Source organism: Homo sapiens, chromosome 7, assembly GCF_000001405.40.
Source record: "Homo sapiens chromosome 7, GRCh38.p14 Primary Assembly".
Lineage (NCBI taxonomy): Eukaryota > Metazoa > Chordata > Mammalia > Primates > Hominidae > Homo > Homo sapiens.
The window spans coordinates 32,645,421-32,661,010 of NC_000007.14; the positions used below are offsets into that span (position 1 = coordinate 32,645,421).

The window sequence follows — 15,590 nt, forward strand, 5'->3', positions numbered from 1 at the left end:
CTCTACCACCTTTATCATGTGGTTATAAACTACACTGCTCAAGGTTATCAACATAACCAAAATTCTGACTATAAAATGAAAGCATTAGCCAAGATATAAAGGCAATATAAATAGAAACAGAAACAAATGATTCAAATTGCACTATCAAAATGATAATACAATGTGGAGAAATAAAAACAATTCAGGTTGCTTCTAAATTGTTTAACTTTTATATTCTGACTATACCTCCTTAGTAGAATATACTCTTAGGAGAAAAATAAGTAGAGAAATACTGAACCATACTTTGTAGGATTGTTATTGGTAATGACATTAGTGTAGTAACTCTGAAACTATTTTGTGTGTATTACAGAATAATTTGTTTCTGGAACCTTTTTGTGTTTGAAAGGAAGTGTTTGTCTGAACACAATGAGATATATCAAAAGGGCAGAAAAGAGTGCCAAAATCATAAAATATCTAGAGATTAATAAAATATGTGCAAAACATAAAACATTGCTAAGAGAAATTAAAGGAGACGAATATAAATCTATGTTTATGGATTGGAAGATTTAGTATGTTCAGGAATGTCCATTCTAAATTAACCTAGAGATCTAATACACAACCAGCAGGTTGTGTATGTGTTGAAAGAGATGGGAGTAGTGACAAGCTGATTCTAAAATTTATATGGAAACACAAAGGACCTGGAACAGCTATGGCAATACTGACGAAAAACAAGGTTAGAGATCTTCATTATCAGATATCGAACTTATAAACTACAATATTTAAGGCAGTGTGGTACTGGCTTGAAGATAAACGGACAAATAGAACATAATGGAGAGTGTAGAAATAAATCCAAAAATATATAGTCACTTTATTTATGACACAAGGCCCACTACAATTCAGCGGGGAAAGAATTTTCTTTTTAACAAATGGTACTGGGTTAACTGGACATCCTATTTGGGGTGGGGTAGGGGAGGAAGAAATCTGGAACTTATTTCATACTGTATACAAGATTCTAGACAGATTATAAACCAAAATGTGAAAGCTACACCAAGATTTTCCCTTATATTTTCTTCAAGCTTCTAAAAGAAAATACGAGAAAATCTTTATGACCTACAGTAGGCAAAGACTTTTTAATCAGACACAAAAAAGACTACACATAAGAGATTGCTAAATGGAACTTCATGAAAATTAAGAACTTCATCAAAAAACCTCAAAAAGATCTGTGTACAAAAAGATACAATCACAAAATCCAAAAAGATGAAAAGGCAGGTCATAAGTGGTGAGAAGGTACTTGTAGAACATATATTCTACAAACAACTCCATGGAATTGACAAAGAGTTCCCATATATGAATAAAATAACTCAAATATTTGTTAATGGGTGAAGACTCAGATAGGTATTAAAGAAAAGAGAATATCTAAATCAGATAAGCCATATTAAGAGGTACTCAATATCATTACTCATCAGGAAAATGCAAACTAAACCCATAATAAGGTACCATTTCACTCATCAGAATGACTATAATTAAGAGGACTGCCAATGCCAAGCACTGACAAGGATATACTGATAGAAGAAACTGGAATTCTCATACATTGCCAATGGGAGTGAAAACTGGTACAAGCACTTTGGAAAACAATGTGGATATATATCACAGACATATGTTGAGAGAAAGACATCGGACATAAGAAAATATGATTCCACTATATGAAACCACCAAATAGGCAAAACTAATCAATAGTGATAGAGATAGAAGAGTGGCTACCTCTTTTGAAGGATGGAGAAGGATACAGATTGGACAGGAACAGAGGTGAGCCTGCTTGGGGGCTGGAAATAGTCTATACATTGATCTAGTTCCTGGATACAAGACTGTATACATATGTAAAGATCCACTGAACAGTTAAAATATGCAAATCTTAATGTATGAAAATTATATATAATTAAAATGTGGGGAGACTACTACCGGCTAAATGTGTGACAATGAGAACATCAAAAAGATTTGCAACAGATTATAAAACATTGAATAAATTTTAAAAAAACCTATGCATATATAGTAAAAGAAAATGGCGGGACAGGGGATTTGTCTTTACAGAACACCATTAAATGTAGATTAAATGGCAGAATTAGAAAATTACCATTTGCAATGGCTAATGTAATAACTAATTCAGGCAAGTATCATCAATGGATGCATAATCAGTTGGTAAATGTTATAGAGGAAGAGGGTATTGGTGTCTCAAAGTATCATCCCACATTTCACTTATTAAAAGGAAAAAGGGCATTTTTATAATAGAGAAATATGACACCACCACTTAACTGTGTGATTTAATTTAGTAAATTCGATTATGGGACAAATTGGTTTTATGTGCCTCCAGATGTAATGCAAAGAAAAGGACACAACATCATATGTGCCATATTCTTCATTAAAATGTCCAATCTGGCTGGACATAATGGCTTAAGCCTATAATCCCAACACTTTGGGAGGCCGAGGCAGGCAGATTATTTGAGGCCAGGAGTTCAAGACCAGCCTGGCCAACATGGTGAAACCCTGTCTCTAATGAAAGTATAAAAATTAGCTGGGTGTGGTGGCACATGCCTGTAATCCCAGCTACTCGGGAGGCTGAGGCACAAGAATCGCTTGAACCAGGGAGGGAGAGGCTACAGTGAGCCAAAACTGTGCCACTGCACTCCAGCCTGAGCAACAGAGTGAGACCCTACCTCAAAATAAAATAAAATAAAATGGTCTAATCCGAATCTATTAATGAAGAAACGATCAGGCAAGTCCAAAATGTCAGACCTCTACAAAATAATTAGTTCAGACTCCTCAAAAATGTTAATGCCATGAAAAAAAAAGAGACTGAGATAAACTTTTCTAAATAAAATGACAACTAAATGCAATGTACAATCCTTAATCAGATTCTGGATCCAAAATAAAAGCATCAAAGAATTTATAGGACTAAACTATGTAAATAAGAATATGGGCTGTATTAAGATATTATTATATAATTATTAGTGTGAAATTTCTCAAGTATGATAACAGTATTGTGATTATGTAGGAGAATGTCTTGCTTTTAGGCAATATATACTGAAGTATTTAGGGGTGAGATCTCATCATATCTGTAGCTCATTTTCAAACGGATTAGAAAAATGTCTGTGTCGGTGTTTGTATAAGAGAGACAGCAAATGTGTCAAAATATTAAAACTAGTAAATGAAACTGAATCTAGAGCATTTCTGTAAGTTTCAATTTGCTCAAAATAAAAAGCCGGAGAAAAAACAGTAGAGAAAAATGTACTTTTCTTGTACTGCCTTTTTAGTACAAGATTTACAGGGGAACTAGACATAGCCCAGGTGAAGATAATAAAACAGTTGTTGGCTCTACCTTCACACCTGAGAACAACTGCGTAATTTATGTAAGGATCTGCCACAGGCAGAGAGTCTTTGCTGGAACCAAACAGCTTCTAACAATATAAACAAGAATCTGAAAAAGCTACAAACACAAAAATGAATATTTTTTGTGACAGCCACCCCTCCCCCAACCTGGGACACACATAAACATACACACACATGAATCTGGCAGATAAAGAGGAGTAGGGGAAAGTCAGAACTCTGTGAGATCACAATCTCACACAGCGCTTAGGTTCCAGGGTCTTGCCACGGCTGAATCTGGAGATGGATTAAAATTAACTAAAAAGCTGAAAACTAACCCCTTCCCAGTTTAAAGAGTGGTAAGATCAAAGGAATCCCAAGTTGAGCATCTGGAAAGTTGGGGACTGAGACAAAGAAAAAAGAGATCACTGTAGTTCATTTGAAACTGGAAGTAAACTAAAACAAATTAAAACTATACTACTGCCCTGCTTGGCAGGGCTTCATGTGGGATCCAAATTCTCAGTCTCTCTTCCTAGGTGCTTGACATAAAAGAAGATGTTCCCTTTCTAGGGAAATTGAGGCAAAAATGATTATCTAGTTCAATCTTTATTATTCTTTTACAGAAGTTGTCTTGCATAAAATAAAAAGCTATGAGACATGCAAAGTAGCAGGAAAACATGATCCACAATCGAGAGAAAAAAACAGTCAATGGAGTTAAATTCCCAGATAATGTAGGTGTTGGCATTAGAAGACAGACTTTAAAATAACTATGATAATTAGATTTTAAAATGTATAGAAAAATATTAGTGAGATGAATGAAGAGATAGGAAATTTCAACAGAAAAATGGAGGCTCTAGGAAAAAAATGGAAATTCTAAGAAGTAACGAAGGAAGAAAGGGAAAGAGAGAGGGAGAGAGGGAGGGAGGGAAGGAGGGAAGAAAGAAAGGCAAGAAGGGAGGAAGGCAGAGAGGGAGGGAGGGAATTTACCAGAGAGTGATAATAGCAGACTGCATGCATCAGAATAAAGCATCCATCAACTCCTAGACATGGCAAGAGAAAATACTCAAAGCGAGGAATAGAGAGAAAAAAAATGGGGAAAAAAAAAAAAACAGTGTCAAAAATCTGTGATAGTATTTTTAAAAAGTTGAACATACATGTAATTAGGATCCCCAAAGAAGAAGAGAGAAAGAATGGGGAAAATAAAGTATTTAAAAAGAAGATCTTGGCTAGAAATTTTCCAAAACTGATTAAAAATAAAAACTAACCCACAAAACAAAAGCGTTCAATGAACAAAGCACATCTAGGTTCACCACCATCAACCAATAAAAAACAAATATATAATGAAAATTCTCAAACAACAGAGAAAAGACACATTACATTCAGAGGAACAACAACAAAAATTATAGCTGACTTCTTATAAAACGGTAGAAACCAGAAGATAATGGAATGGCATCTTTAAAGTGCTGAAAGGTAAAGCTATCAACCTATAATTCTTATGCAGCAAACATATACTTCAAAAATGAAGGCAAGATAACATTTTTAGACAGACAAAAACTAAGGGACTTATTGGGATATCTTTATCACAATGCTAAATAAAATTCTTAAAACTAAAGAGAAATTATGTCAGATGGAAATCCAGATCTGCAGGAAGAAATTAAGAACACCATTGAGATGCAAACTGAAATGCTCAGTTGTGAAGGATAACCGGGAGTTAATTAGGCAGAGGTCAAGATGAGGGGCACAGAGGCATATACAAAGCATAGGAAACAGCATGTGCAAAGGCCCTGAGGAAGGAAAAGGAATAGTCCTTTCCAGGAACTGGAGAAAGAAGGGCCAATAGGGCTGAAGCAAAACAATAAAAAACAGCCTGAAGAGTGATGTGAGACAAAACCAGAAATCCAGCTGGGCAAGGTCATAAAAGATGTTGTAGGCTACTTTTCTATTGTAGACTGCTTTTCAAATTTACATCAGCAGATATGCTGCTAAGATTAACACATTCTATTTTTATTGAACTTTTGCAGTTACTGTAAGTTTAATATAATAAGTTCACAAATCCATAGACATACCAGTGAATAGCCTTCATAAAACTATACATCTTGTACTTACACTGTTTCCCAAATTCATGTAAAACATAATTTAAATCATGTCACTCTACTAGTCATCATCCTCTAGTGGCATTCCATCCACTCCAAATGGACCCTATAATGACCTACAGAAATCTGCTCCCACTCTATCCTACCTCCAATTATTAACTGTCTGACCTTATCTGCTATCACTCTCTGCTCCTCCTTGCTACTGCCCAAATAAGCCAGTTATTCTCCTGCTTTAAGGCAGAAGATAATCCCACATTCACATGATTGTCCACAAGGATAGGAGTCTTTGTTTTACTTATACATCTCAAGCATCAAAAAGTACCTGGAGTACAGCAGGCCAAAACCTTACCAACACTGGAAAGAAAGGAAGAAAGAATGAAAGAAAAACGAAGAGGTCCACAAATTGGTAAGAAAAGGTCTCTGCACCTTTCATTTATAAACGATAAATTATAGTGATGTCTTCTTTGAAATGCTACTCCCTTAACTAAGAGTTTCGTGTTTGGAGAGATTAATGGGAGAATCAGGAAACTTGTAATCCTCTCTCTGCAAAAAGATCCACAATATTGATCTGGGCAATGATTTCTTGGATAAGACTGCAAAAGCACAGGCAAGGAAAGCAAAAATAGCCAAATAGGATTGTGTCAAACTAAAATGCTTCTGCACAACAAAGGAAATAATTAACAGTATAGAGTCAACCCGAGGATTGGGAGAAAATATCTGCAAACCATACCTCTGATAAGGCCCCAATATTCAAAATATATAAGGTACTCAAATAACTCAATAGCAACAAAACAACTCAATTTTTAAAATGGGCAAAGAATCTGAAGTCATTTCTCAAAAGGAAAGATACAAATGGCCAACAGATGTATGAAAAAAAAAATGCTCAGCTTCTCAAATCATAGGGGAAATTCAAATTAAAACCACAATGAGATATCAATGTACACCTGTTAGAATGGCTATTATCAAAACAGACAAATGATAAGTGTTGGAGAGGATGTGGAGAAAAGGGAACTCTTGCACACTGTTGGTGGGAACGTAAATTCATACAGTCATTCTAGAAAGCCATGTAAGTTTCCTCAAAAACACTATAAATAGAACTCGCAATCCCACTTCAGAGTATATATACAAAGGAACTGAAATCAGTACATCAGAGATGTCTGCACTCCCATGTTCATTTCAGCATTATTCACAATAGCCAAGATACGGAAGCAACCCTAAGTGTCCATAAAGAGATTAATAAGGAAAATGTGCTATACATACCCAATGGAATATGACACAGCCTTAAAAAAAGAAGGAAATTATGTCATTTGAGACACTATGAATGGAACTGAAAGATACAACACTAAGTGAAATAAGCCAAGCACAGGAAGGCAAATACTGTATGATCTCAATTACATGTGGAATCTAAGAGTCATTCTCATAAAAACAGAGAACAGAAAGGTAGTTACCAGAGGCTCAGGGGAGAGATGGGTAATGGGGAGATGATCCAAGGATATCAAGTTTCAGTTGGGCAGGAGGAATAAGTTTTAATGATCTATTGCTCCGCTTGGCGACTACAGTTAATAATAATGTACTGCGTATTTCGAAATTGCTAAAAGAATAGATTTTTAGCATTCTCACCACAAAAAATGCTAAGTTGGTGAAGGAATAGATACGTTAATTTGCTTGATTGACTCCTTCTACAATGTATACATAAATCAAAACATCACATTGTAGCCCATTAATATCTACAATTATTATTTGTAAGTTAAAATAAATAATTTTTAAAAAATATAAATAAATAAAATCATCTCCCTGCTGAGTAACCTTGAGCCAATCTCTTAATGTTTTAGTGCTTCCATTTTTATGATATTGGGATATTTACTACGTATCTACCATATAAGAATATTATAAGAATGAGATTGATTTCAAAGTGTTCTAAGAATTCTTTTCCAAATCTTATATAAATGGCATAACTTTGTCAATAAGTAATTAGGAACATGTATGTTTATAGTTTAATCTCAGTTCAGTGCAAAAATAGTTAAGAAATATGGGTCAGAAATATGTTGTGGGTCATAAAAATGGGTTAATTAGATATGAACCCCAAGGCAATCCTTTCATTTACTTTGAATTACTTTTTTAAAAAGTATTTATTTCTAAAAAACACAAAGTAAGGAATTTCCTCTTCATATGTGCACATCTTTATATATGCGATTATGTTTTACATAAAACAGAATCAATCATGCTTGGTAATAGTTTTTTTTTTAATCTTACCATGAAAAAGCTAAACAATCTTATTTCACAAAAAAAGAATTTCTAACAATCAAAAAATTGGAGAAAAATACTGTATTCAGGTTTTTCTTAATACACATTCATGTGCTTTTCTATCAGCATGCCAAAACCCTGCACCATCAACACATGTTGTGTGCATCTTGTAAAAGAAAACATTTTAAAGGCAAAACAAAATTGCTAGCTTTTGCCTTTGCAAAAATTCTCAGTTGTGACAGAATGAAATTTACTAAAGAAGCTTGATCAATGAAAACATCTGCATAGTTTTTATTATAGAATGTATAACCTCAACATTACTGATCATTATTATAAACCCTTTTATTGCATTTCACAAGTTTCGGATTTGAAGGTTTTAAATGTGTTTTAAATAATTTATTTAATAATCGATTAAGCTATTCATGCTACACATTTTATAACTATTTTGTTCGGGCAAAATTTTCCCTTGTAAAACCATATGAGGAAAAAGAAAATTTGAAAAAAGTAAACCTATGCTATCTTAGCATCTAGTGCAGAGCAAACTAAATAATGGAAATAGAACTTAAATGCAAGTAACAATTCAGAACTATTCTTTGCAACATAAACCAATCACTCATGTGATCAAAGTAACTCTCCTAAGAAAGTAAGGTACCAATTAGTAACCCACTAGCATTTCCAGTGAGCAGTGCTCTACAAAAGCTCACTAAATACATAAATAGGTACTACCAGAGTGAATATTTCTGTCCATAGAAAAAGTATACACTTAAAAATCTGAAAAACATAGGGTCTGAAAATCTCATTAACTAAAACCAAAATATGTTGAGTTCTCACCAATATTTTACCCAAAACTGCAGTTTATGCTCTCAATTTTAATGCCATTACCTGTATTTTCACATGTAATTTTACATGTAAGTAAAATTATCTACTTGACTATTTCAGCAAAACTGAAATTCTAATTCTAATGATATTCGGTTTACCTTTTCCTAAAAAAGTAATGTCTAAGCATGCTTTTCAGCTACACCAAGTAGCTGAAAAGTGTCAAAAAGACAATTCATCAGCCTGAAAAGCCAACTGAATAGTCTGAATTCCATTGTTAAAATTTAAGAAAACTTTGTAAGGAATGATGTTCATGCCACATGAGTATCAAACTTATAAGAAAACTTAAGACCAAGAATTAAAAACCATAGTATACACTGAGGGTAGCACGATAGACCTTTGCGCTTTACAAACAGTGGTCTTCCTGGTGGTCTAGGTTCCAAAATTTTGAATAACCTCTTTCCTCTGACACCTTATTGTTAACACACGATGCTTCTTTCTTCCATTATTAAATGGTTATTTCCCTATTTCTTAGGTCATTCCCACAGAATCTGTGGCTCAAAGTGCTTCATGGTCCACATTATCACAATGTGCAGGATCCACAGTCAGGAAAAGCCAAATCTTTTTTTTTTTTTTTTTAAACACATACTATACCAATTAACTGATGTCATGTTGCAACCAGTTGTCAACTACTCTAGCTTTATATTTCTGTGATTCTAAATACTAAGAACATATTAGCTAAGTATCCATTAGTAACTCGCTGACTAAAAAGAAGTCCAGCATTGACTCTGCATTATGTTTGGAGATGATTACTGTTATAGCACATGTTAAAACATGTGCATATTCAAATACAGCAGGCACTGAGTGTATAAAATGCATGGAAGGACAAAGTCACTTCACACAAAGCAAGCTGACCTTTATTCTTTTCTCCCTCATACAAAATTTATCATGAAAGAAATCTAGACAGAGGTGTATTAGAAATTCATTTACAACTATGATTAATCTAGAAACACTGAAACTCTGAATTTACATTAGAATTTAAACCAAGTTAATTAGTCAATAACAGTAATAACACAAGCTAACAATTACATAGCAGCTACCAAGTGCCAAACACTGTTCTAGGCATTTACACATATGAATTCACTTAGTCTCTGCAATAATCCTATGAGGTGGGTAACATCATTATGCCCATTTACAAAGAGGAAACTAAGGCAAAGAGAGATTAAATGACTTGCTCAGATCACAGAGCCACTAAATAGCAGTCAGGATTTGAACCCAGGCAACCTGGATCCAGGGTCTGTATTTTTTACAATACTGTTGTCTTTAGAAAGCCCTTGAACACTCAAATATTTTGCAAAAAGTACTTAAAAGAATATCAAATGTTAATACATTAAAATAAGAATACACTGTGTAGCTCCTACAACAAAAAGTTATCCCTACAAAAGAAAGTTATATCGATTACTGCCTACTTCTATTATAACTAAAATATGAGTTTCACAGTTTTAAAATTATACAAACAATTGATACTTGAGGGCAGGCGTGATGGCTTACACCTGTAATCCCAACACTTTGGGAGACCAAGGCAGGAGGATTGCTTGAGGCCAGGAATTCGAGACCAGCCTGGGCAACATAGAAAGATTCCATGTCTATAAAAAATTTAAAAAATTAGCTGACTGTGGTGATGAATGCCTGTAGTCCCAGCTACTCTGGAAGCTGATTCTGAGGCAGGAGGATCACCTGACCCCAGGAGTTTGAGGCTGCAGTGAGCTACGACCTACCACTGCACTCCAGACTGGGCAACAAAAAGAGACACTGCCTCAAAAAAAAAAAAAAAAAAAAAAAAGAATTGATACAGTTGATACAGACCCACTATTTCATCAAATTACTAAGCCTAAGCCTTATATCACATAAGAAGTATAACGGTCATGAAAAGTTAACTTAAATGAATGCTAGTGTTTAAATTTTGAATCAAAATAATAAGATTAAACATTTAAAGAATGCCATTATAGATTAAATTTAAAGAAGAAAACTGCATTTCCAGGAGTAATTCTGAGAATAGTTTTTGATTACCTACCTCTCCATGACTGAAAAAGAAGCACAACACTGTAACCAGGCCTCCTAATCGGCTGCCACTGGAAAAGAAGAAAACATAAATAACAAAAATCCAGGTCAATCCTAAGAAAAATGTTAAAATGGCATAACATCATAACCTCTGGTATTATAAAAGATTTTAGTCACACTAGAACTCTCCTATGCTTATTTATAAAATAGTTTATTTCCTCCAAAGTATTAGTCAAAATAATCTTTTTTCATTTTTAAAAAATCATTTGCTATCTTCAATATGTATAGACTCAGAAAAGCACGCAAACTGAAAGGGAATAAAAAATTCTTACTAGTCACATTGCTGTACATCATGCAACCTGATTTTTCTTTTTATTTTCTTTATAACCTCATATTTATTTATGTCCTTCAACATTTCTCAAACTGCTTTCCTTGGGACAGATGACATACATTAGGAAAAAGGGTGAGAAAGACGTGCAAGGAAAGGGATCCACGGTCATGAGGATGGAAAACCCCACACTGCCTACCTGCTCCTAGAAATTCACAAGGCACTTCCACACATTAAAGATTTAATTTCATATTTCCCAAATCCCATCCCCAAGCTACTTTTCTGCAGAATACACTTGAGAAATACCAGTTTATGAAGTTTTATGTTTCATTTGTTTTCAAAAACTGGAATAGAACACAAATATCAAAGTATGACAATCAGGCTTATAACTCTAGATAAGAAATTACAATGGTGCAATCTAGTAGTTCTAACAATTAACCTTCATTTGCTCAGGTAAGAGTGAAATATGTTCCCTACTGTCCCCCAGGTCTGGGTAGGGGACATAAGGCTATCTTTAGGTTTATTTCATCATGTTCTGCATCTTTACTCTTGAAGTCTTCTTACTCATTTTAGCTCATGCTGCTTTCTTATTATTCTACCCAAATATCCTTCCTTCTTTTCCTCTATCTACCTTCCTTCTATTTCTCTATCTATAAGTATACCACAGAGAGGTCAGAGAGGAAACAAAGAACCAGATGGTATAGGCATCAAAGGCCTTGTATTTACTCTTGTGATGTATGAATGAGGAAAAGAGGAAGAGATGCAATGGCCAGCAGGGATAATCCACGTAGGGAGTATCCAGGAGACAGGTAGGGCTGGGACCCCAGCACAGGTGGCCTGTTTGCCTTGGCAAAAGAGGAGGAAGACTGCATATTTAGTGGCAAGTACTTTGTGGAGTTTCCATGTTCCCCACAGAGCAGAAGACACAGCCACTCGCTGCTAGAGAGAAACGATGGCAGCATTAAACGTTTGAGGAAAGACAGAAATGTCTGAAACACCACTCACATTTCAGGAGAGTGGTAACTGGGGAAAACACAGTGCTGCTGGGATATCTTAGGGGAACAACTGAGGCTGCAGAACACAAATCTATAGGGTCACTAATCATAAGATTGTGTGATTTTTGCCTACCAATTATCAGCCTAGAAAGCACAAATGAAATATAAAGGGGCAAAGAAACTGAGGACATTGGCCAGAAAGTGTCTGAAGTGATGGATCACTGAAATGAGAGCATCAGATAGAGGAGCTTAGAAAGCAGTACAGGCTAGGAAGTGGACGCCAGGGTTCTCTCCTGAAAGGTGTACCACATCTTCAAAAGAGAAGCACACAGGCTAGGCCCAGGCTTCATCACAAGTGATTAGACATTAGAAAGGTTAAGACAGAGTTAATGGTTTAGAAAACAAATAAATACACTTTAGTGTTTTGAACTTACTCTAACAAGACAAAAAATATAGTTTATAGGGAAAAAAATGTGATTTTCTCTTGCTACCCTCTCCCAATCCTATTCACCTAAGAACATTTTAGTATGTGTCTATTCTTCCAAATCTCTCTCTCTAACCGCACAAACATATATTTTCTGTGTGATCATATTAACATCTAAAATTTGTTCCTTTTCTAATTATTCAGCATAAAGATTATTCCTAATCAATATATGTAAAGTTAAAGGGATTCTTTTTATAGATGGCAAATACTGTATAGTACAAATATATTTATTTAGCCCATTCCATATTACTGGGCATATAAATATTTTTCAATTTCTTGCTATAATAAAAAATGGTGAAAGTAAACATCCTCGTACGTGTAAATGCTGGCGCATTTGTTTCAGGAGGGATCTAACTGTGAGACACATGAGTCAAAGGATGTGAGCTGTGCCCGGAAGCACTGCAGCAGTCCACACCCTCGTCACAGAGTATGCAGGAGGTCATTTCTCCACCCCTCGTGCAGCACCTCATGTGTTTTTCAAAATTTTGTCCTTAGGCAGGTGAAAACCCTTTTCTCACTGCCTACTTGTATGCAGCATCATTTTAGTGTTTTGTTTTGACAACATGTATTTTCTCTTCCGTGAACTGCTTATTCATATTCTTGTCTATTTTTCTATTAGACTATTTCCCTACTTAAAAATTAAGGTTATCAAACCTTTGACTGTCAAATGTGAAAATAACATTTAAAAGCTGTCCAAAAAAACAACCACTTTAAGCCTTCAGAAAGATGTAACTGTGATCTGAGTCACATATGGTTACAACTTCCATTCTCAGATTATAGATTAACTTGCTTTCTTATTTTTCTTGTTCAGTACAATGACTACAGAATTAAACACTGTCAGGCACAAAAACTTCCTGCCTTTTTTTTTTCCCAGAGACCGGGTCTCACTTTGTCACCCAAGCTAGGGTAGAGTGGCACAATCATGGCTCACTGCAGCCTCGAACTCATGGGATTCAGCAATCCTCCTGCCTCAGCCTCCAGAGTAGCTGAAACTACAGGTGTGAGCCTGCCTTTGTAGTTAATAACCCCTGTTAAAGATTAACTTTCCCTGTGTTGTTTTACTTTGCTTAGATCAGACTATAGAAAACCTGTCATTATTATACCCTCTGTTTAAAAAAAAAGTTAAATGTACCCTTCCCCAAAAGAAATACCACCTATAACCAATCAAACTGCTGTGACTATGTGCCAATCCGTATGAATAATGTTGTATTCCTGCTAAAAATGTCTCTGTCTCTGCCCATATAAATGAAACCTAAATTTCCCTACTTCCAAAGGCTGACTTCATTCCTTTGGAGTTGGTGTTCCTGAGTGGTCTACCCTCACACTTTGTGCTTGAATAAACGCTATTTAGATTCTGATCCTTTTGATTATTTTAAGTTAACACATATGTGTGACAAAGTATTTTGATATAATTTGTTGTGTATTCTGTCAGAAAGAATTTTTAAACTTTTATGTATTTAAATATGTTGATATTTTCCTTTATTTCTTCTGCACTTTCTGTCTTGTCTCTGAAGGTCTTCCACACCTCAAAACTATAGTCTCCTAAAATTTCTTCTAATATTATTAACTGCATTTTCCACTTAGCTCTTCCACCCTAATTTTGAACTCTTTGAAATACCCAATTATATTAAAATCATTTATCACGTAAACATCCCTTTTACCAGTGAAATGAAATTCAGCCTTTGTCTTATATTAATTCCTTACAATGATAGACTCTGTTCTATTTCATTCAACTGACTGAATTCTTTATTTTTTTGTATCACACTATTTTTATTACTGTAGCATTATGGTAATTTTAACACATGATTTTAAAAAGCTCCCCACCCCCAACTACTCTTATTTTTAAGATTTTTTAGGTAATTCCTACCAACTTATTCTTACATATAACATCTGAACCAGTCTCCCAACCCTGCTCCCCAACCCAAGAAAAAATTGTCAGGCTTCTGATCAGAATGACATTAAATTTATATATAATTTGGGTTGGGAAGGGCTGTCATTTATATGATGGTCATTCAGTTGCACAGTATATTTCTTTCCATTTACTCAATTCTAATTGTATTCCTTTAAATAAAAATTTTTGGGGCCAGCCACGGTGGCTCATGCCTGTACTGTAATCTCAGCACTTTGGGAGGCCAAGTCGGGTGGATCACTTGAGGCCAGGAGTTCGAGACCAGCCTGCCCAACATGATGAAACACTGTCTCTACAAAAAAAAAAAAAAATTAGCCATGTGGTGGCGCATGACTGTAGTCCTAGCTACTCAGGAGGCTGAGAGTCAAGAATCGTTTGAACCAGGAAGGCGGAGGCTACAATAAGCTGAGATTGCGCCACGGCACTCCAGCCCGGGTGACAGAGTGAAACTATCTCAAAAAATAATAAATTTTTTTTTGGACAACCAATGTAAGAGTCAAGTACCAAGTTAAACTTCTAGAAATACAAAGAGAACATGATAAAATCTGATCACAGTGGAAAATTTTAATTCTTTCATAATCTGACAGGTCAAGTAAGCTAAAGGAAACATATTAGGGATCTGAAGGAGATAATCAACAAGCTCAATATTGTGACTATACAGAGATTACACATCATTTTCTTATGTCACTGGGACATCTAGTTGCAAAGGCACCTCATTCTCTGATTAGAAGCTAAAACAACCTAAAACACAAGAAAGATGAGTTTTTTAAAAAATGACACGGGGAATTTAATGTAAAATTTCCGTTTAAAAATTCTCTGGAACGAGGAATAAAAATGGAAATTTAATAACTTTAATTTTCTAAATGGCAGAGTAAAGGTAGAGAAAGAACAAAAGACTCACAAATCCAATTCCCTAACCAAATCTCAGGACGAGGTTTGCCTAAGAAGTCGCACACCCTCACTCAGCTGCCATACAACCTGGGAGGCTCTGAGGTTGGACAATTTCCTGAGGGCAGAGCCACTGTAACTACATTCCTTTTTCACCAAATTACTAAAATACAGGTTATGGTCCAACATCTTCCATGAATATGGGCTCAGCTTTGCTTAACTAACATAAGAGGCAGATTTTTTCTAGTACACTTTTGAGAACTGCAAAGCTAGAGGAGGAGAATAAAATTTGTTTATCTACAAGGAATGTTCTGAGTTAGAATCACTGTGAAATGATATGACTTGAAACAAATCTAAACTAGTGTTCTCGACGTCCACCCTCTCACCCCAATGCATACAGGCTACTAAGTAAGTCCTGTTATTTTGCTAAACA

The 15,590-nt window shown here is 35.1% G+C and overlaps 1 pseudogene across 1 annotated transcript in view; it reads right to left on the reverse strand.

The window, feature by feature from the left end:
- Window positions 1-15,590, reverse strand: part of DPY19L1P1 (DPY19L1 pseudogene 1) — a 138,230-nt pseudogene that overhangs the window by 64,482 nt on the left and 58,158 nt on the right. The window contains exon 6 of the transcript NR_036680.1: window positions 10,567-10,624. The product of NR_036680.1 is annotated as a DPY19L1 pseudogene 1 (transcript). The remainder of the gene's footprint in view (window positions 1-10,566; window positions 10,625-15,590) is intronic.